Source organism: Homo sapiens, chromosome 18 (assembly GCF_000001405.40).
Source record: "Homo sapiens chromosome 18, GRCh38.p14 Primary Assembly".
NCBI lineage: Eukaryota > Metazoa > Chordata > Mammalia > Primates > Hominidae > Homo > Homo sapiens.
Window position 1 is genome coordinate 10655623 of NC_000018.10, and position 21842 is coordinate 10677464.

Below are 21842 nucleotides of genomic sequence, written 5' to 3' on the forward strand. Positions count from 1 at the left end.
ATCATGCTGCTATGAAGACACATGCACACATATGTTTATTGCAGCACTATTCACAATAGCAAAGACTTGGACCCAACCCAAATGTCCATCAATGGTAGACTGGATTAAGAAAATGTGGCACATATACTCCATGGAATACTATGCAGCCATAAAAAATGATGAGTTCATGTCCTTTGTAGGGACATGGATGAAGCTGGAAACCATCATTCTCAGCAAACTATCGCAAGGACAAAAAAACCAAACACCGCATGTTCTCACTCATAGGTGGGAATTGAACAATGAGAACACTTGGACACAGGAAGGGGAACATCACACACTGGGGCCTGTCATGGGGTAGGGGGGAGCAGGGAGGGATAGCATTAGGAGATATACCTAATGTAAATGATGAGTTAATGGATGCAGCGCACCAGCATGGCACATGTATACATATGTAACAAACCTGCACGTTGTGCACATGTACCCTAAAACTTAAAGTATAATAAAATAAATAAGTAAATAAATAAATAAAAAGAAAAAAAGCTCAACATGACTGATCATTAGGGAAGTACAAATCAAAACCACAATGAGATGCCATCTCACACCAGTCAGAATGGTGATTATTAAAAAGTCAAGAAACTACAGGGGCTGGAGAGGCTGTGGAGAAATAGGAACACTTTTACACTCTTGGCGGGAATGTAAATTAGTTCAACCATTGTGAAAGACAGTGTGGCAATTCTTCAAAGATCTAGTAGTTCTGAATAAAACTTCATTATTTCTTCAAGTAGTTTTTCTTCCCTCCTCTCTTTTTTTTTCTTTTTTTTTTTTCTTCCGGGGAATCTATGTTATGTATATTGGCTGCTTGATTTTGTGCCACAGGTTTCTGTGGCTTTCTCTGTTTTTCTCCAGCCTTTTTTATTCTCCTCCCTGTTCTTTGGATTGAATAATTCTACTTGTCTATCTTGAAATTCACTCATTTTAAAATTATGTTTTCTCATTTCTACTGTTGATCTATATTTATTTTGAAAAGTATTAATTTTGTAAATAAATTTTGTAAGAAAGCTTTATGACTTTGAGTTATACTTCTATAAATATGATGACTTCTATTCATCTCATTAAAGATCCTTCAAGGAAATTTAAAATTTTATCCATAATGGTTTTACACACCATTTTTGAGATTTATTGCTAGGCTTTTTCATATTAAAGGCCTTCCCTCTGTTTTGCATGATTTGAGTGTAATTTTTTTGCTATTGCATTTCAGAGTTGGTTATTTCTATTTGATAGGAATGCTGCTTGTTTTTATAGGTAAATCTATTATTCAATAGCCTTGCTGTATTCTCTTATTAGTTTTACTTATTTTCTGTGTATATTATCTTGGATTTTCTAAATAGACGATCATATTAATAAAGACAGCATTTTAAAAACATTTCTTAATATTTAAGATTTCTCATTTCTTTTATTGTCTCAATGTCCTGGTGCTTTCTTGAGATGATCCAGTGTAATGTTTGTTAGAATCATTGCTAATGAGTATCCTTGTCTTGTTCATAACTTTGCTGGGGTCTCTAAAGTTTTACTGTTCCATTTGTTAGATGACCTTTATCCTCTCAAGGGGGCTCCTTTCTGTTCCTACTTCACTAAGATATTTTTATAAATTATAAATAAGCATTGAATTTTAGCAAATACTTCTATTCTGAATTTAACGTGTGATGATTTTACTGCTTCTCTCATTTTATTTGATGTTGAGCCATCCTTGGATTAATGGCATGTACCTTAGTCATGATATGCTCTTTTTAAAACATATATGATACTAAATTTGATTTTCTATTTATTATTTTTATTTGTTTTACTTTTTTTTTTTTTTTTTTGAGACAGAGTCTCTCTTTGTTGCCCAGGCTGGAGTGCAGTGGCACGATCTTGGCTCACTGCTACCTCCACTTCTTGGGTTCAAGCGATTCTCCTGCCTCAGCCTCTGGAGTAGCTGGATTACAGGCTCACGCCACCACGCCCGGCTAATTTTTGTATTTTTAGTAGAGACGGATGGGGTTTCACCATGTTGGTCAGGCTGGTCTCGAACTCCCGACCTCAGGTGATGCGCCAATCTTGGCCTCCCAAAGTGCTGAGATTACAGGCGTGAGCCACCATGCCTGGCCTCCTATTATTTTTACATTGTACAAGCTTTGATGTTGTTATGGATTAAACGTTTGTGTCTCCCACAAAATCAAATGTTGAAATCCTCCCCTTACCAATGTGATGGTGTTAGGAGGTGGGGCCTCTGGGAGGTGATTAGGATTAGATGAGGTCATGAGGGCTCCCGTTTCATGGATCTGACTAGTGCCCTTAAAAGAATGCTTAGAGAGCTTGCTTCTCTCTGCTCTTTGCCGTGTGCAAATATAAGAAGTTGGTAGTGTGCACCTGGAAGAGAGCCCTCAGCAGGAGCTGACCACGCTGGCACCCGGATCTCTGACTTCCAGGTTCTGGGACTGAGAAATAAATTTCTGCATCACCATTGGCAACCCTTTCGGTACTTTGTTATAGTGAAGTGGCATCATTTGTTTGGGGTAATACCTGAGGTTCATTGTCTTACGCCAGGGAAATTGAGGCTGCAGACACACAAGAAGTGAGTTTAAGAGCGGAGGTTTCATAGGCAAAAGGAAAAGAGAATAGATCTCTCTCCTGCAGAGAGAGAGAGGGGCTTCTGAGTGGGTCTTCCGGTTCCGTGGTAAAATGGATGGGGTTTTATAGATGAGCTTGAGGAGGCAGTGTCTGATTTACATACGGTCCAAAAGATTGGTCGGACCAGGCGTGTCATTTACATAACATGAGAGGAAGCTGGCTGCCCTACCCTAATCTTTTTATTATGCAAATTGTTTCTCTACCTGGCCAGCACCATCTTGCCTGCTTCTTTATTGCACACGTGGTTGACAAAAAGGGAAGATGGAGCCTCCATGTTGAACATGCCTGGCCCCCAGGTAGCCTTTTCCTGTTGGCACAGCTGCTGGCATTCACCTGTGCAAGCTTCCAGCTTGCTTATCCATGTCTGCGGCTGGATTTTATAGGCTGCTCTTTGCTAGGAAAGAAATGATTTGGGAGCTGCTTTTTGTTAAAAGGGAAGGTTTCCCAAGGACTCTCTAGCCTCACTAACTGCCTAAATAATTTCTTTTTATCTCCTGTATCAATTGCAACCCAACTGACTACAACAGATATGTAGCAGTTACATTTTTGATGAGCTTGACATGTTTGCAGTACATTTTTTAAACTCATGAATTATTTAGAAATTTATATTCTACCATAGAAGTTTATGTTCTACCATAATTTAATCATTTATTTTTGGTTAATCATTTGTAATTTAATTTAATGTTGATTTAAGAACACATTAGTCAAGATAGGCTAGATCATGCTACGGTAGTAAATAATCCCCAAACCTCTGTGGCTTAAAACAATAAGATTTATATCTTACCTACGCTACATAAGTATTAAAGGTATGCAGGGGGACTGCTAGTGGTAGCTCTTAGAGGCACAGGTTGGTGGAACAACTACATTTCAAATGTTGACAGTTGCCATGTCAGAGGGTAAGGGAGAAAGGAACAGAGAGTTCTGGAGGATTTCCCCATGGGCAACTAAATGCTCCAGGCCAAAAGTGACACATACCCCTTTTGCTTTTCATTCATTGGCCAGAATTCATCACACAGAGCCATGCATAGGAGATGGAGTTAGGACGTGTCATCCGACCATGTGGCTGAAAGAGGGGAGAAATGTGTCGGGTAAACGGCACAGCAGGATATCAATTGATAACCATTTCCTGATTATTTGTTCAGCTTGAGCTATGAGTTTCTGAGTGAGCGATATTATAATCTCCCACCATGGCTATGACTAGTTTTGTCCATTTCTCCTTGCAGCTATGTTTATGTATGTTTGAAGGTGATATAGTTAGGTCCAATTTATTATTTTGTACATTTGTTCTGTATTCTTATCTCTGTCAAAATTGATACAAATATGGATTAAGAGGATATGTCATTTTCCTCTACCTGGCCATCTTTACTAATGGACAGGACTTGACACAGGTAGTTATTTGTAGCTGGCTATCCACGATCTCGTTTTATTCTTTAGCACCATTGTAAGGCCACTGCAGGCTTGTTATTCATGACTTACTCTTGAGCACATGGAGACTCGGGAAGGCTGTGCAGCTGTGCCCCTGCCACAACTCCAGACCACAAAGAAAGAGCCTCAAAGTCTGGGCTCTGTCTTCTGCCCACCCTTCTCCTAGACAAGGCAGGCCAACACATGGAGGCCAGACAGCTATGAAAGACACGTCTCCCTAGAGGTTGTTTGGATGGATTTCTTTGGTGCAAATTCTTGTATTAGAAATGACCCATTTGGGTTCTTTCTCTCGCCACCTGAACAAATAGCAAGCCCTGGCGAGCAAGCGAGCTGCCTCTCACTCCCCTGTGATCAGGAGGAGCTGAAGGACTTGCGGTGAGGCGAATGAAGAGCAGCAGTTGTTTTTTGGAGAGGTTTCCTTAGTTTGTAGACCTCCCTCTTTCTAATTCTTTCTCTGAAACATGTATCCCCTTTTCTGTAGCTCATTCCCTACATCCTTTTCATGCAGGTTTCCGTTAGGCAGTCCCTGGGGGTGATGATTTATGTTTACACTTCCCCTTGATTCTTTGGCTCAATTCCCTTCTGGAGTGCCTGTGGAGCCTAATCAACTCTGGTGCTCTCTATGCCCCGAACCTAGCTTGGGAAGGGGACTTGATTAGGCTCTTAGGGCGACTGTGGTCTGCAAGGGCCACGCTGTGGCAGAGCCCTCTGTCTGCCTGTTCTGCAGAGGGGCCCTGTTTTCCATGTAGGAACTCATATCAGAGGTCTTTTCTCTGTTTTCCTGGTTGTTTTTTCTTCCTTCCTTCCCTTCCCTCTCTTTTTCCCTTGTTCCCTCCCTCCCTCACTGTCTTTGTCTCTTTCTTTTCTTTCATTTTATGGGCTAATTGTCCCAAGGGCAGCAAAACAGAAACTGCTGGCTACGAATCTGCTGTGGGGCTCAGGGCAACGTGACGGATGGTGTGAGATGCAGTCATCGGCAAGGTTCATTAATAGTTCACTGCTTTGCATCAGCCTGGTTGCCACGATACAGCATCATTCATAATTTAGAATTGCTGGTGTGCCTTCTGTAATGTATTATGACTGTGTTAGGAAGGCCTGGCCCCAAAAGCTCCCGGCATATGTGCCAGTGGCCTCAGAGGTCAGACTCTGGGCGGCTCCTCTGGGCCGGGAGAGTAGAATGTTAACCGAGGCCCTGGGAATCAGGGGAGGGAACCCTGCAACTTCCCTCAGCTTACTGTGCCTCTGGTTTGCATAAAGCTTCCTCCATGAGATGGAACAAAATTCATGGAAATAACATTTTCCCAGAAAGAAACTTGGCTGTGACTGAGATGTCATTTTGATTAAAAATGTCAAAAGATAAATGAATTACAAAAAAATAGCTAACAGAGGAAACCCAATTTTATGTAGTAAAATTTTCATTTTCTATATTCCCACACCAGGAGGTATAGTTATGATTTAGCATTGTTTTAGACTTGGTAAAAGGACTTTATACTTTCTAACTTTAGAGACCACTGCATCCTATAGACAGTCAGGCGGCTTTCCAGGCACTCTTCCTGGGTGATGTGCCTGCCTAGGGGGCTGCAGTTTTCCCTACTCTCACCTTGTCATTTACTCACTCGTTTCCCTCCCATATATCAAAACTGTCTCCCAGAGGCAATCCACCCCTTACCGTAACTTCAAGGCAATGTGCTACCTTTCCTGGTGCTTGCGTTTAGGCATTCTCTCTAGTAGCTAAGGATAGCAAATTTATTTTTTCTTCTCAAAATCCTTTTGGGTGTAACACAGTGGGAGGGGAATGATCTTGGGTGAGGTGTGAGACTTAGTGTTCCTGAATGTATGCCAAGTAGGTGACTCACTGCTTTTGCTAGTAAGCTTAGAGGCCAGGCCAGGGGCCACTAGTTTTGCTTCATTTAATATCATTTATTAATGAGGCCAACCAGATATTTCCAATTATTTGTCACTTGGCTCTGAGCTATTGGCCATCATTTTTAAAAGGCTGCAAATATTCTTTGCATTTCTCAACAAACTCGACCTAGTTTTCTCATTAGGCATTTGACCTACACCTGAGAAGGTGTAAATGATCAGGAAGTGAAAGTAAAGGAAATGAATATGTGGCTTCCATGTCTGGAGCTTTAGTTTCTCAGTGTCTCAGCACCCCTTTTTGGAGTGGTGAGGAGAAGCAGAAGCCTTTGGGGCCTGGCACAGGGAATGGCCATCCTGGCTGGGAGAGAGAGGGAGAATCAGTGCTTACTGAGCATCCTCCACAAGATAGCAAGGTATCTTAGATATGGAGAGATGTAGCGGGGATCCTGCAGAGAGTAGTGTGGGAGAGGAGTGCCCTCAGGCCTCCCTGATGTCAGAACCATCTGCACAGGCTAAACAGAGATCGATTCTTGGACCTTGTCCCTGTATCAGAGTCTCAGGGCCTGAGCCATGAGGATTCAGCATCTCCAAGATGTTCAGCCTGAGTGAGTTCGCAAACAGGCAAGCAAGATAATGGGGGCTTGGAGGGGGAAATCATGACACTGGTATTGGGGCTATTGAGTTTGAGGTGCCAATGGGTTATCAATCTAGAGTCCCTGGAGCTGCCTGCCAGGGGCAAGAGGGAATTAAATCTGCTGGCATGGATGAAATTTATCATTGATGGTGACATGCATCACCCATGAAGTGACCTTGGTAGGAGAGACAGAGCCATCAGGGGAAAGATGAATCCTTGGGGCAGCTTTCAGTGCCAATGTTAAGTACCTCTCAAAGGGTGACTTCATATTTTGGGTGCACAGGAGTCCGGAGGAGCAGATCTGGCTGAGTTGGATGATGACTTATTTAGAACCTGGGGCTGCTCTCAGGCTACTTTCGAGGGAGAGCTCACATTAATTGACCCTCCACTGAGAGCCAGGCCGTTTACACACATTCTGCGACCCTTAGACTCATCAGCGTCTGAGTTTCCCCAGGCCAGCTCTGAGTATGGTTTGGAGCCTGGTGAATACCCAATCTACACCCAAGGCAACCATGTCATTCAGAAGCCCAGAGCCTGATGACTGCTGAGAAGTGGAAGGGAACAGTTATATTTTACAAATGGAACTTGGCTGGGAAGGGGACAGAAACCCTGAGTCTAAGACAACTCCAGAGGGGTAGGGAGAGTCCCATCATCTTTTTGGGTTTCTACCTGGAGGCCAGATCATGTTGAAAGCCTCTTTTCCACCTCCTCCTCCACTCTGGGAAACTGAAGCTGGTTCGGCAGCATTTTCCCAATTCTACACCCTCACCCCCCACCACCAAACAACTAGCAGCTGAAACTGTCAGTGAATGAGGACAACACACACCAAAGCCAGGAAGAACATGAGGCAGGACCCATGAGGAGTAAAGACATGAACAGGCTGAGAGACTGAGGAAGGCGACAGGCATGTAGAGGACATGGCCCAGGGGCTTACAGTGGTGGACACGGGGCCACTTGGTGGGCTCCAGGTGTCTGAGGCTGCACCCAGGCACTAAGTTTGCAGGTGCAGAGAATAGAACATGGCCGCCTCTTCCAAGTCTCAACCCTGGGGGAGCCTCTCTATGGGCTGCATTACATTGCTTGATCGTGATGCAATAATGTCAACTAATTGTTCTTCTAAAATCCAGGAGTTTGCCGACTTGAGGCTCGGTGCCAGCCCATCTCTTGGAAAGCAAGCTGCCAAGCTGTGCTACAGCGCCTTTGCATGGCCACCCCACAGGCTTTTCCAGAATTCTGCTCCAGGAGCTCAGCTCTTTCGACCTTTCCTGGGACTCAAGGCACATCCTCAGCTTCTCTTCTTGAGCCCCCCACCCAACCCCTGCTCTCTAGCAGCTCTGGGGGCTGCACCAGTCTCTCCATGGACTGACAATAGAAACACCTGGTTGGTTAACTTGAGGTTTCCTGGGTGCAGTGGCGTTTCAGAAGCCCTTTCTTTCCCGACCTCAGTGTGGGCCAGAAAGTCTAGAAATTAGGGCCCAAAGCTATTGAAATACCATCAGCAATTCCCATTCCTCTTGCGTGGTCACTACCTGGGACATTTAGCTTCAGTTCCTTCCTTTTGAGTAAAGGGTTTTAAATTAACATTTAGTGTTAGCTGTAAATATTTTTTTTCTCCCTACTTCCTACCAAGGGAGAAAATGCCCATGAGGAAGATGGACTCATCTTGAGGAAGATGCCCATGCTGCAGACGTGGAGACATGTGAGATAGATGAGGCCGGCACACTCCCCACATCCTGGAGAAAGGCGGGAACTCACCAAATCCCAACCCCTTAGCCTTTCGGATCCCGCAGTCGGGCCTGAGGTGCAGAGCTGGGCTTGAGGCAGGGGCTTTGCTAAGAGCTGCAGGAGGGCCGAGGCCCGGGAGGTGTGTCCTTGCCTGCCACGCACATTATTTTGCTGGTGTTACTGCATTGCCCAGAGGAATGAGAATTAGAAATGTGAATGTGTGCAAAGAAACACTGGGGGGAAGAAAGACTTTGGGGAAAATCTTCTCCCAACTCAAAAAATCCCCCTGAATCTCTCCATTTCTTTCTCTAAACACAATTCTTTATTATTTTATGTTGTGCACACTATTCATGTTTACTATTGAAACATTTTTTAACCTATGAATTTGTTTATTTCACCTTGTGTCTTCTAGTCAGTAATAAGACACTTGTAGAAATCATGACACTATTGTTCAGATACTCAGATTTCTCAGGTAAATTAACATTCCCATCTTGACCAATAACTCCTTTGTTGCAAACATTAAATCTACAGCCAAAGACAAATGGAAAAGTAGGAATGACCAACAAGGATAGACTAGGAATGAGACACCCATTTATACTTTATCATTATCTTAATGCTGGTACTGTACTTCACACCCCAAAAAGTTACTTGGGAGCAGTCTTTGTTTTCAGCTATTTTCACTTGTCTATCCATAAAAGAATGGATGTATAACTAGCAGATGGACTTTGGGACTCGCTCACATAGCATGGTGGTTTCCTGCTACCGGGAAGCACAGGTGGTTCTGAGCACTGGCCACGCCCCACTGAGCAGCACTTACCCTGTGTGTCCATCTCTACATATGGAAGATGAGAAAAGTAATACCCGCCCCCTGGGTTTGCGGTGAGCATGGATGAGATCATGTACGTACAGCACTTAGCAAGGGTCCTGCCCCCATGAAAACTACAATGCATGTTGTTTCTCTGGGACCAGGGGGCACACAGCAGAAAGTGCCTTAGCCTCTCTGTCAAACGTTCTTTTCTGGCGATTTCATCAAGGTTGGGAACAGAGAGACAACCTTCACTTTGGAAGGTAATTTCTCCCCTTTTCTCTATGCCTTCTGGCTGATCCAAGGAGTAGACTTCCCCAGGGAAGTCTGACAATCTCAGTGGCTTAGGAAAGTGCTCCTCCTATGTGGGGTTGAGAACCAAGTGGCCGAACCAAGGAGGGTGAGTGGATTGCACGAGCTCCCCAGGACAGGGTGGAGCTGGAGGGCTGTCTTCCCTTCGACAGTAGCAGCTTTGAAGCACATGTGGGTACTGTTAGTGCAAATGGCATGGAGCATCTGGTGAAGGGCAGGGTAAGATTTCACCAGCTGTCAGTGTCAAATGTCCCCAAGTCTCATTTTGATTGAGATAGAAAAGACATCAAAACCTAATCTGTTAAAGCATTGACCTTAATAATAGTCGTATTTTTCTATATCATCCGTATCGGTAAGCATTTTTGTATTCATGTGAGCTAATTTGTGAGATGATCAAGGAATATGGAAAGACCAGGCCACCAAGCATGAAAGTCTGATTCTGTGGTTTAGTATGACACCTCAGAGGTTCTAGCAGTCCTTGGAGGGTCGTCCAATCGCCCAAGTTTGACCTGGGTGGCACTTTAGACCTGGCACGCCTCTTACTCTCAGTATTCTGAGAGTAAGCTCAGAATACTCTCAGCTTTTGCAGCCATCTGACTCTCTGACCTCAGAGCAAAGGGGCTGGAGACAGAGCTGGGTGAGGTGCTGGGGGAGAGTCATTTCCACTGCCCTCATTACTTGAAGGATGCAGGTTGAAAATTCCCTGTTGGTAATTCATTAGCCTGGGAAATAAATAACGTGGAAGGCACAGAGGTGGCATAGAGGAAAGTTGCTCACCAGTACCCAACCCCCACACCGGCCATACCAAACAGGTATGTGGGAACCCAGGTGCGGGGCACGATTTGACAAGTGGGGGTGCTCTCCGGCCAGTGCTCGCCAGGCAGCAACAGGAGCCTCTGGTGGAGAAGCAGTGCCAGCAGGATGGCTGGCCCACAGTGCAGACCGGCTTCCTGGGAAACAAGGCAAGTCCTGGCTCCACCACATCTTTGGCAAGTCTCTAACCCTCTTTCTGTTTCTGACTGCTCATGCTTTTAGCACAGGGTTTGACACATAGTCGTAAGAGCAAATACTGGAACATTATTGATATTATTAGTCTCTCAGCTCCTGAAACCATCTCCAGCAATCTTTCTCTGCCCCTGCACATGGAGTAAGGGTCTGGGTGGGAGAGGCAGGCACAGTTTTATCTGGCTTTCCCTGAATACCTTAAAGAAACTCCAGCGGGGGTCAGGTCTGCGATGCTAGCGTAATTGCCGAAGTTCCTCTGTCTCTTCGAACTTCCCTCCAGGACATTCCCTCCGCAAGCCTTTCTCTCCCCTTTCTCACCATCTGGTTTGCTTTCATACCTACACTTGCCGTGCTTCTGGACGTCTGTGGCAACCCTGCTGTGAAGGTCTCAGGTACAGAACTTAGTCTTACGTGGAAGAAAACACAGGGCTTCCCAAAGGTCTTACTGCAGGTTTAAACTGTAATGGTGTTAGAAGTATAAATAATACAAACTTAGAAAAGGCAACATTGTAAAGGATAATAATTTAAACATTTAAGATACTAATATCTTTGCTATGGACATGCAAGATAACCGCTGTCTTGTGCTAGTGGTTCTAGTCCATTTTCAAACTGCAAACACGGAGAAGCAGCCACAGGAAGGTTGCCTTTGAAGATCCTCCAAAGAACATCCTGGGACGGAAGGTCTGATGGAGACTGCCAGTGAACAACAAGGCCTCTGCCATGCTGTGGGTCTGGATGAACATCTGGACATGGTCTCACATGCAGCCTAAAAGCTGAAATGTAATACTCAAATTTGCAATGCTGAAGTAATGGGGAATATTTAAATAAACTTCCAAATGATGAGTTCTCTAAGTCTGCAGCATTTATATTTCTGATTTGGGACACACTAGATAGCTCAGTACCAAGCTATGTATCCAACCCAAAAGGTCAGAAGAAGAATACAGAATAACACAAAGAAGTAAAAAAAAAAATAAAGATAAAAACCTTTATAAACTAGAAAGCAAATAATAGGGAAAAATACTACTCTGAAAATCCTAATAAAATAGATTGAATAATAGGCAAATGTGTTCAATAAAAATATGTGGGAATATAACCACAGATACTTATGTCTTAATATAACACTTTAATATTTTAGGCCGGGCACGGTGGCTCACACCTGTAATCCCAGCACTTCGGGAGGCCGAGGCGGGCGGATCACGAGGTCAGGAGATCAAGACCATCCTGGCTAACACAGTGAAACCTCGTCTCTACTAAAAATACAAAAAAATTAGCCACGCGTGGTGGTGGGCACCCGTAGTCCCAGCTACTCTGGAGGCTGAGGAAGGAGAATGGCGTGAACCTGGGAGGCGGAGCTTACAGGTGGGCACCTGTAGTCCCAGCTACTCGGGAGGCTGAGGCAGGAGAATGGCATGAACCCGGGAGGCGGAGCTTGCAGTGAGCCAAGATTGCACCACTGCACTCTAGCCTGGGTGGCAGAGCGAGACTCCATCTCAAAAATAATAATAATATTTTAATTTTTAAAAATGCCCCTTATTCAAAACAATGTAGACTCTGAGAACCAATCATTTGTGTGCACTGTTTGTACCAAGTGCTTTTATGCCAAATCTAACTTGGGCAATGTAGTTTCAGACTGTTTTCTCCATGAAATGTAATGTATTCTTTCCTCATTCAATATTGCGCTTAAGAGTCTGTGTAGGGGAATTCTGGGCAGATAAAGGTAGTGCAGTCTAGAGCCTGGCACTTCCTCAGTCATGCCCTATTGCCTCCCCTACAAACAAACAAAAGAAGTGCAGATGAGAACTAGGCCAGGACAAACCTGGACTCCAAAGAATGACATGACAGCTGCAGGAGGAGCCCCTCACAGGTGGGAGAAGAGAGGAACGAGGACGGCCTTGCCAGGCAGAGCTGGGATCAGGTCACCCAAACAAGCGATGGCCCCTGGACCCTGGAGGGTTTTCTTTTCCCCATACTCATTGGTGGGTGAGGGGCTGCGCAGGGCTAGGCCTGTAAACTCTCCAAAGTGACAGGTTGTAGCTCCCTCCCACGACCAGGCCCCATGCCACATCGGCCCTGAGAAGAAGCTGTTGGGGAGAGTCTATGCAGCGCAGACCAGTTGCTACTGGGAAGAGAGGGCCCAGAGTGGGCGGGGGGACAGAGCGGAGGTCTCAGGAAGGAAGGGCGCACTTAGGAACCAGTGAAAACCACAGCGGAGGGGCCTCCAGTGCTGCGAAGCTGGAAGAGCTTCCTACCCTGACGTCAGGGAAACAACCCCTGCAAAGGAGTGACAGGGAAGGACTGTGCATCAATCCAACACCAAATGTGGCCAGTGAAAAAGAATAAGGGGCAGGCTGGTGGCCTTTGAGACTGTCAAAGTTTGCCAGAAAGACATGCTCACCAATGGGTGGAAACCATAATCCAGTGTTTCAAAATGAACTCACATAAATTCAGAAAATAATAGAAGACATGAAAGAACAATAAAAATCAGAATTAGAAAACTCAGAAATGAGTTAGCATTCGGGAAGAAATTAGCGAAAAAGTAAAACATGGTTTGGGAAGGGATGACTCAGAAGTACAGTAAGGGAACAAATGCCACAGATATGGCAAGGCAAGCGGTCACCTTACTGACTGGGCTAATCAACCCAGGTCAGCAGAACAAGGAGGCTGTTGCCACCCAGCCAGGCAGGGAAGAGTATGTTGGTGCTCAGGGGATCATCCCTCTTTGGTGCTTGGTGCCCAGTTTGAATGACAAAGAGGCAAAGCTGTAGCCAGGACCCGAGGAGGGCTTGAAACCAGGACTTTGGGCCCCTCGGCTTCAGGGTCTGGCTGACCCCGCCAGGGCTGCTGGCCAAGGGTGAAGGGATCTCGAAAGGGTGCGGGAGGGGTGGGTGATGAGTCTCACTTTGGCCTTGAAACCAGCTGCAGGGGGGCCTGTAGCTCCTTTCACTTTGCTCTTCCCTTGCAAGAGAAGTAAGACCTCACAGGCTTACTCTGGAAGCCGGTGTCCAAGGGTAGACAGTGATGGGTAATGCAATCTCCTAGGATCCCCTCTGGACACCCACATGCCCATGGCTGGCCCTGTCCCTCAAAGGCAAAAACCCTCATTTAAGGTTAAGTCCTTGCCCAGGGGATGGCTATGACAATGGCTTGCTGGTGTGGGATCCAAACACCCCTGGCTTAGCTTGGGATAAAGGAAGGGCTACCCCAGTTCCAGGGCTCAGTTGCAACTGCAGCTTCTCTCTGCCTGGACCTGCCTTCCTCCGTGACCTGTATAACCTGTGATCACTGCCCTAAAATGACCTCATGTGACTCTGTCTCAGAGTTTAGAGAACCCAATCTAAGGTGGCAGCAGGCTGCTTGGCTGGGGTGGGCGCCCTTTGAACCTTAACATGTTGCTGTTTAGAGCTTGATGATCCCTGATGGTGTCAGATAAAGGAGGCTTGAGGAGGGTGAGAGACCCATTTGCCCAGGTCTCCCATCCCCATAGTGACTGGGCCAGGACCAGAAGCCAGGCTTTGGCATTCTCTGTGTGATTTCCAGTCCAGCACACGCAATTCTGGAAGGAGTGCCCTTTTTGGCCGGCACTCTTTCCTGCAATATGTTCCTCTCAACGCATCTGGAGGCTTTTGCCTGACACCCTGGAAACTGTTTTCTTGAGGAATATTTCAATTCTGGTATCCTCTGATCTTTACGTTTTCTTCTCATGAGCATTTTCCTATGCCTAATCTTTTCTAAATGAGCTACAATTTGCTTTCTGGAAATTCCTTGTTGACTTTTTTTAAAAGAAAGAACTCACAACCAGATATGCACCATGATTCTTTCTGCTGTTGGGAAATCAGAACTTCATGCAAGAATTCCGCTAAGTGGTTTGAGTTTATTGTTGCAATGATGGAAGCAGTTTATCTCCACAGGGGGAAGCGTGCTGGCTTTCACCGTGTTAAGAATAAATATGCACTAATTAATTCTGTACAAGACACAAAATCATTTGAAGTCTGCTACTTTTTTAAAGCTCCATATTCACTGTAATAGTTTCCTTTTTGGAAATTATTTGTTAGTTGTTTTCTGCTTATATGAGGAAAACAAAACAAAACAGAACCAGCAAGAAGTGGATTCTTATTTCAGTTGATTAAAAAAAAAAACTGTACACTGTATCAAAACAATCCATTTTCTATTTCATGCAAAAAAGCAAAATAAGGAATATTCTTAAAATGACTTTGCAGGATGTGCTTTATTTTAAGTCAGCCCTGAACCCAAACTACACAGGATCAATTTTTGACATATTCTAGTCCATTCAATGATTCTTCTCAGAAACTGTATCTTAATATGGAATGAAAACTACATTTCAATCATAAATTTTTCATGCTACATTGTTATTTAATGAAGAGGTTGTATTACCAATAATAATAATTTAAGAAAAGGCCATTTTTATTTCCCCAAGCTCAATATACATATTTCTTTCATAATTATGAACTTAAAAAACCCGTCTCAGATGTAAAAATGTGAATTGGAATATGTAAACTCTTTGATATACCTGAAAAACAGGAAGGAAAATGTCACATACTGGAAAAACCATTGCCTTAAATCATGGAAATGGGAAAAAGCACGTTAAGGGAAGGGGAAGGCAGAAGAGCGGTCCTGACCTCAGTTATTAAAGAGTTACAAAGTATTCTAGGTCCCACTGGGTTGGTCTTTTTACTCTTCTGCCTCATGTCTGTTTGCACAGGAGACCGCAGCCCTCCAGAATGGTTCCCCTCATTGAAGCTGGTCACTGGTGGACCATAACAAAGCAGGTGTACACATCATTTGTTTTGCTCCTTTTTTTTTTTTTTCCTGAGAAGTCACTGGTGTTTAATGGAAAGGTATCCTATTAGTCCTTGGTTAAGATAAGGCAGTAAGAGTATCACTAATACTATGTTTTTGCTTAGAATGAGGCTGATCCTTCCACTGGCGTCTTCACGGGCAATTAGTTCCCTCTCTTTTGCTCCTAGAAACACAGGTAGGAGCTGTCTGCCCCCTATTGCTGTTGCATTTTCTGAGTGTGTTGAAGGCTCATCTAGTCTCATCACAGCAGCTTCCCCAGTGGGGATGGAGCGCTGTATATTGCATTGTAGCATCTCTCCAGGAAGTGCACGGGCCCCACAGAGGAAAACACAGGCATCTTTCTTTCTGACTCCTCTTCTGTTTCTCTTAGGGACGGGGCCCATAAATGATTCCTTCACATGATCAATCAGAATGCGAGACACTGTTGACTAAAACATAAAGCAAGTAGCCCTGATTTCAGAGAAATGGAGTTACAAATAACATTTTCAACAGTGCCTTAACTTGCAAGGTAGCTTTTACTGCAGAAGGATATCAGCTCCTTTTGTCTACCTATCAGAAGAGAAACAAACCATTTCCGTCGAACTAGAAATGCTTAGCTCTTATGAGAATATTGTGCTTTTAAAAAAAATTCAAATGTTAACATTATTTGCAGTCTGTGTTCTAAGGTTTCAATTTGTTTTTTCTCTAGTCCATTTGATCATTGTCTCTGGTGAGCGATATAGGAATATTAATTTGGCATAGAGATCTTCTTCTAGCTCCAGTTCTCCTGTCTCTCGAACTAAAAAAATATCTGTGCACAACTTCAAAATTCGATCCACATTTGGAAGCTCTTCAAACATGATGGAGTGAGAAATCCCACTGAAGAATTCACGGACAAATTTCCCAATCACAAGGACAACTGAAGCATATAATCCCATAATACTGAAAAAAACAGTAAGTAGAAATTGCATACAGCAGTTAAATATAGTTAATAAAGAAAAGCATGTCTAAAAGAAAAAAATATTACTTTCCCTCAAATTCTGTAGAAGAAATAAGCAAATCAAATCTTACATTTTTTCCCTTTGGTTAAAAAGTTGACTTTTTATTATAGAATTATTATAAATAGAAAATAGAATTATGTATTACAGAACTGTTAGACTTGAAAAATGAAAGTCCTTTACAATCTCACATTCTGTAAATAATCAATGCTAACCGTTTCATGTATGAACTTTAGGTGGTTTTGTTGCATATATTAAATGCATAAACCATATAATGTATTTGGTAGAAATGTAATTATATATGATTTTCTGTGGCAGGCTCCTTTCCTTTTAGCAATACTGTCTCTCAGATTAATTTTTATAAAATTCTGGGTGAAAATCATTTCTTATGAGGCTAACTTTGAGAAATACAATATTTTACATTTGTGTCTTGTGGGGATGTGCGTGTCCTAGGATTTAAGCATCAGAACATGATGCGATGTTTCAGAAGTTCAAAAGCAGGATGTCTAATAGATCCATCTGCTAAGGATTAGAAGGAAATCTAAGCAGAAAAGTGATATTTCTGTGCTAATTTATACAAGTAAACATGGGATTGGATTAAACTGTGCCATAACAGGAAGACGTGGAGTAAAGAAGCCATATACCTGGGCTGTGTGAGTCACACTGGGAGTTTTGATCTCTTTGGGACTCTGGTGCCTCATTTTTTGAAATAAAATGCACACAAGGATGTGTGCATTTTAATACTGCAGCTCTAAAATTAGCGAATTCTAAGAAGATAAAAGGCTTCCCACTCTCAACTTTACATGATACAGAAGTAGACTCTTGTAACTGTGAATTGTTCAATGAGTCCTTACCCATAGCCAGCCAGGAACCCCAGACTTGGGGGACTGACTTTGTCATTGAAGACCACCAGTTCCAGGGCCTGAGAGTTCGGATTGTATATTCTGTTTCCAGTCAGGTTGAGAACCCACCACTCACTGTTATATTTAGTTGTATTGTCTCTGGACAAAATGATGGTAATATCCATGAAATTATTTTCTAGAAGGGTAGAAATGCAAAATTAAGTTGACATGAGAATTTTAGGATTTCATGCACAGCAACAGTTTTCAGATGGCAAAATCTGGTTACTAACTATAGCATAAGGTTCTAGGATGAAAAGGATGCATGGACATACTAGAAGCGTGAATGGGCAAGGAAGAGAGGGCCCTGGGTATGTAAGTGATTTTTCCTTTTCAGTGAGAGAGGTCAGCCGCTGTTGCTACATGGGCATGGCAGCAAAACCACAGGGCAAAAGTAGAGGATCCACCACCTGAGCAGCTGAGCTGATAATCCCAAATGACTCTGTAGACATTTAAAAACCCAAATTTCTGACTTGTGATCAAATCAACCAGTCCATTCATATTACCAGCATTTGTTGCATGTCTCATAGGAGGAAGGCACTCAATTAGGTGCTAAAGGGTTCCAAAATTGCATATAACATTGTTCCTTATCTCCATGGGAAAAGACTGTATACACAAGCACAATTTATGGGCACATGACAGCCACCATGGGACCAGCATTGACAAGGTCTGTTGGCTTAGAGAGACCACTTCTGGATAGTATGCTCCATGGGTGCTTCACAGAGGAGATAACTTCTGAGCTGAGATTCGCCAAGTGAGAACTTCAATAGGTGAAGGTGGGTGAGGAGGGAAGCTCATTTCAGGAAGAGTGATGGGACACAGCTCAGCAAATCTCTGAGAACCATAATATCGGGTCAGTGATTACTTTTATTGGAGTTTAGGGTGAATGCAAAAGAGTTGTAAAAGATAGGGTAAAAAGCTTGTAGTGACATTGTATAGGTCTTTCTAAGAAGATTCCACTCCTGCCAATGATACTGGTGCTTCCCCTGAGAAACATGGTGGTGAACTATAAACTAAACTGTGTGAAGGTGGGAGCAACATCAGCATCATTTCATACTAAATTCCTAGATCACAGGTGTCCAATCTTTTGGGTTCGCTGGGCCACATTGGAAGAAGAAGAATTGTCTTGGGTCACCCAGGAAATATACTAACACCAAGGATAGCTTATGAGCTAAAAAGATCATACCAAAATTTCATAATGTTTTAAGAAAGTTTACAGATTTGTGTTGGGCCACATTCAACACTGTCCTAGGCCACATGCAGCCCATGGGCTGCAGGTTGGAAAAGCTTGTCCTAGATGGTAGGAATCCAAGAATGGTACTTGACAAAAAATGTCTATGGCATGGAAGGATGGATCAATGAAGAAGAGTAAGGCACAGCATGATCCTATTAGAGCCAAAGTCCTTATCAAGGAAGAAGGTGAACCACCCAGAACACACAGGAACAGGAAGAATGTTGGTTCTGAAGTCAGGAGACAGCTGTAAGGAGGAAACACAGGAGCTTGCAGCACAGAGTCACCTCAGGAAGAGCTTGTGGAGGGACAGAATTATTTCATGGGAAATTACTGATTGTTGAGCAATCTGCATGTCCAGATGAAACATTTCTACAACTATTCCTGACTGAAAGGGAAATAGCAAACTTCTTAATGCGTCTTGCAAATACCTTGTAAGAGATACTTATTTACTGCTGAGGAAGAAAGGTGTGTGATGTGGAGCCCGGCCTTTTGCCCATCCCCAGGGCCCTCCATTGGGCCTCTACTAGGCCAATCTCTGTGTGGCTTTCCAACTCTTCACTTATGTCTGCATCTTTCTAGCTAAACACAGCAGCACGGAGCCCAGGCTCCAGCGCCTGGCCTATTGCCTAGTGTGTAGTGGCCCATGTTGGAGAATGAATTAATGTGTGCCAGATAACTGCACTGGTTTTCCGCGTTGTCCAGATCTATACATCTGCTTCTGGTTCAAGCCATGAAGTCAAGCAATTCTTGATAATTAATAGAATCCAGAAACATGAATTTATACCATCCAAGTTATATTGCGAAAATTCAATCACTAAAGTGCCTCTAGTGATACTACTAATCCTTGGGCTGAATCAAGTACATTTCATGCTATATTTTTACTGTTCTTATTGTGAGGGGCAGACATATTTAGCAATGTATGAGGCAGTTTCCTGTCAGTAATCTGGCTGCTAATAGAAACAAGTCTATAATCTGATGAATCAGTACTATAAGAAATTTGGTGCGAATATACGTCAATCAAGTTCCATATCTATGAAAAAGAGAAAATGAAGAATGTGGGTCCCAGGTGAGTGAGTGACTCCTTTGGGCTAGTGAAGGCTGTCAGGGGTTTCATATATAGTCTGTCACACAGGGAGAGATAACTAGAAAGTGGTTTCATGAAGGTCCAAAGCACAAACTGTTGAAATTGAATAAAACTAGGATTGAAAACAATTCTGAAACAAATTTTTCTCATTCTTACCAGATAAAAGTTGCTTTATAGGTTTTGAGTTAGAATCACTAGGTGCTTTCACATAATATGGATAAATCTTTTCTATGGTCCTGTACATTAAGAAAAAAAAGATACAATTACGTTTTAGTTGTTTTACCCACCTAAAATTGATTTTTTGTTGTTATTGTTGACCTTGTATCACCAAATAATAGTGAAAGTTTCATATATCTGTACAATGTGTAGACATCATAATTTACGGGTTCCTATTACAGTCAAAACTCTCTCATATGGAGCAAATTCACTGAGCTTTATCTGTATCTGCATGTAAGTCTGTACAACAAGCTCGGTGATGGCTTACAAACAGCCACAGGCCTTTTCCCAATTCTGCAGCTTGTTTCTGAAGCCAAGGGGCACTGTTTCTTGCTAGGATCCTCCAATTCTTATCCATACCATTAAGCACGCTTCAAATTTTAATTTTTAGATTTTCAAACATACCTATAATCAGGCTGATATGGTTTGGTTGTGTCCCCACCCAAATCTCATCTTGAATTGTAGCTCCCGTAATCCCCACATGTTATGGGAGGGGCTGGTGGCAGATAATTGGATGATGGGGGCAGGTTTTCCTCCATCATCATGCTGTTCTTGTGATAGTGAATAAGTCTCATGAAATCTGATGGTTTTATAAAGGGCAGTTCCCCTGCACGTGCTCCCTTGCCCACCGCCATGTAAGATGTGCCTTTACTCCTCCTTCGCCTTCCACCATGATTGTGAGGCCTCCCCAGCCATGTGGAACTGTGAGTCAATTCAACCTCTTTCCTTTATAAATTACCCAGTCTCAGGTATGTGTTTATTAGCGGTATGAGAATGGACTAATACACAAGTAGACTTCATGAATTGATCTAGAGGGGAGTGAGAGGTGAAGAGAGATGGTGGCCTGGACCTCGAGTGACCTCTGCCTCCCACAAGCCCAGTGCCTTCAATACATTCTTGAGTAGATATGCCTTATCATCTGGGAGGTGATAGGAGAGGATCTGACAGTCTCCAAGGGCCCTTCAACTTTAGTGAGTCGCAAAACATATCTCAGTCTGGGAACATTTCTAAGGCCTGCACCCTGGTGATCCATATATTCCATGCATTACAATGGGGCCAGGGCAGTCTGGAGGACAAAACTGGGGCCATCACTGGTGGATGCCTGAACTATTTTGTTTAGCAGTTTTAGATCCATATCATTTTTTTCTTGCTAGTTCATATATTAGAATCTAAACATCTCAGCTTTCATCTGTTGGAAGTGGAGTACTTAAGTGGCAGGATAGTATTTTGAGATATATAATATGTTTTTTTCCAAATTTCCTTTTACCCCTTGTCCTCCTCAACCGTGTATACTCTACCCCCATTCAGAGACCCAGGGGCAGGAATAATAGTAGAAAAGGGTCTCACAGGGTCTTTGCCTGGCTTTTGGTGATTATGGTCAGATAAGAGCAAGGTTTGTCATCTAGAGATGAGATCAATACTTTTTGGGCCAGGTGGACAGAGAGTGGGAGGAGAATGTGCTTGACACTAGTGGCTCCCTAAGAAGGAACCTTGAGCCCCACCTCTTTCCACTGAGGGTGAACGAGTGAAGTGGGTACCCACGATCGGGTGGCAGACATGAATGACAAGAGGCCTGAATCATTTTAGTGCAGTCCCATGTCCCATTCCTGAATAGGGCCCTTGGAGGCACCAATAGCCCAGTACCCCCGGGGGCAGGGCAGGGAGAATGCGATACCACTGGGCACATACTATGTTGGGCCATATGAACCCAGGTGGACCTGCCAGAGCTCCCACACCTCCAAATCGCATGAGAATCAGCATGATGATTTCTAGTGTGCCCCAAAATGGGTCCCAATAGCTGAGGGAGACAGCCACTCTGCAGACTGAAGACAGACCTGGAAGAATAATGTCTGTCTCAATGGAAGCCCCAGCGGGCCAGCACTTTCCATGCACTGATGAGCTCCCTGTAGCCTGGCACCATACAAACCCTCATTCATTTGTTTTTTATTATTTATTTATTTATTTTTGAAATGGAGTCTCACTCTGTTGCCCAGGCTGGAGTGCAGTGCTGCGATCTAGGCTCACTGCAACCTCTGCCTCAAGAATTCAAGTGATTCTCATGCCTCAGGCTCCCAAGTAGCTGGGAGTACAGATGTGCACCACCACGCTTAGCTAATCTTTGTATTTTCAGTAGAGACAGGGTTTCACCATGTTGGTCAGGCTGGTCTTGAACTCCCGACCTCAGGGGATCCACCT

The 21842-nt window shown here is 43.7% G+C and overlaps 1 protein-coding gene and 1 long non-coding RNA gene across 10 annotated transcripts in view; one reads left to right on the forward strand and one right to left on the reverse strand.

The window, feature by feature from the left end:
* Positions 1-6310: 6310 nt before the first annotated feature.
* On the forward strand, positions 6311-11265 carry LOC101927410 (uncharacterized). Its single transcript, NR_110777.1, has 3 exons — positions 6311-6558; positions 7699-7952; positions 8202-11265. It is a non-coding gene; the product is annotated as an uncharacterized LOC101927410 (long non-coding RNA).
* The window catches only part of PIEZO2 (piezo type mechanosensitive ion channel component 2), a 479323-nt gene continuing 472105 nt past the window's right edge, over positions 14625-21842 (reverse strand). For all 9 annotated transcript variants that reach the window (XM_047437735.1, XM_017025918.3, XM_047437736.1 and 6 more), the window contains 3 exons: positions 19587-19666; positions 17068-17251; positions 14625-16157 (listed from right to left, as the gene is read on the reverse strand). In XM_047437735.1, coding sequence (XP_047293691.1) covers positions 15905-16157; positions 17068-17251; positions 19587-19666 — 517 coding nt within the window. In that variant the 3' untranslated portion in view covers positions 14625-15904. The remainder of the gene's footprint in view (positions 16158-17067; positions 17252-19586; positions 19667-21842) is intronic.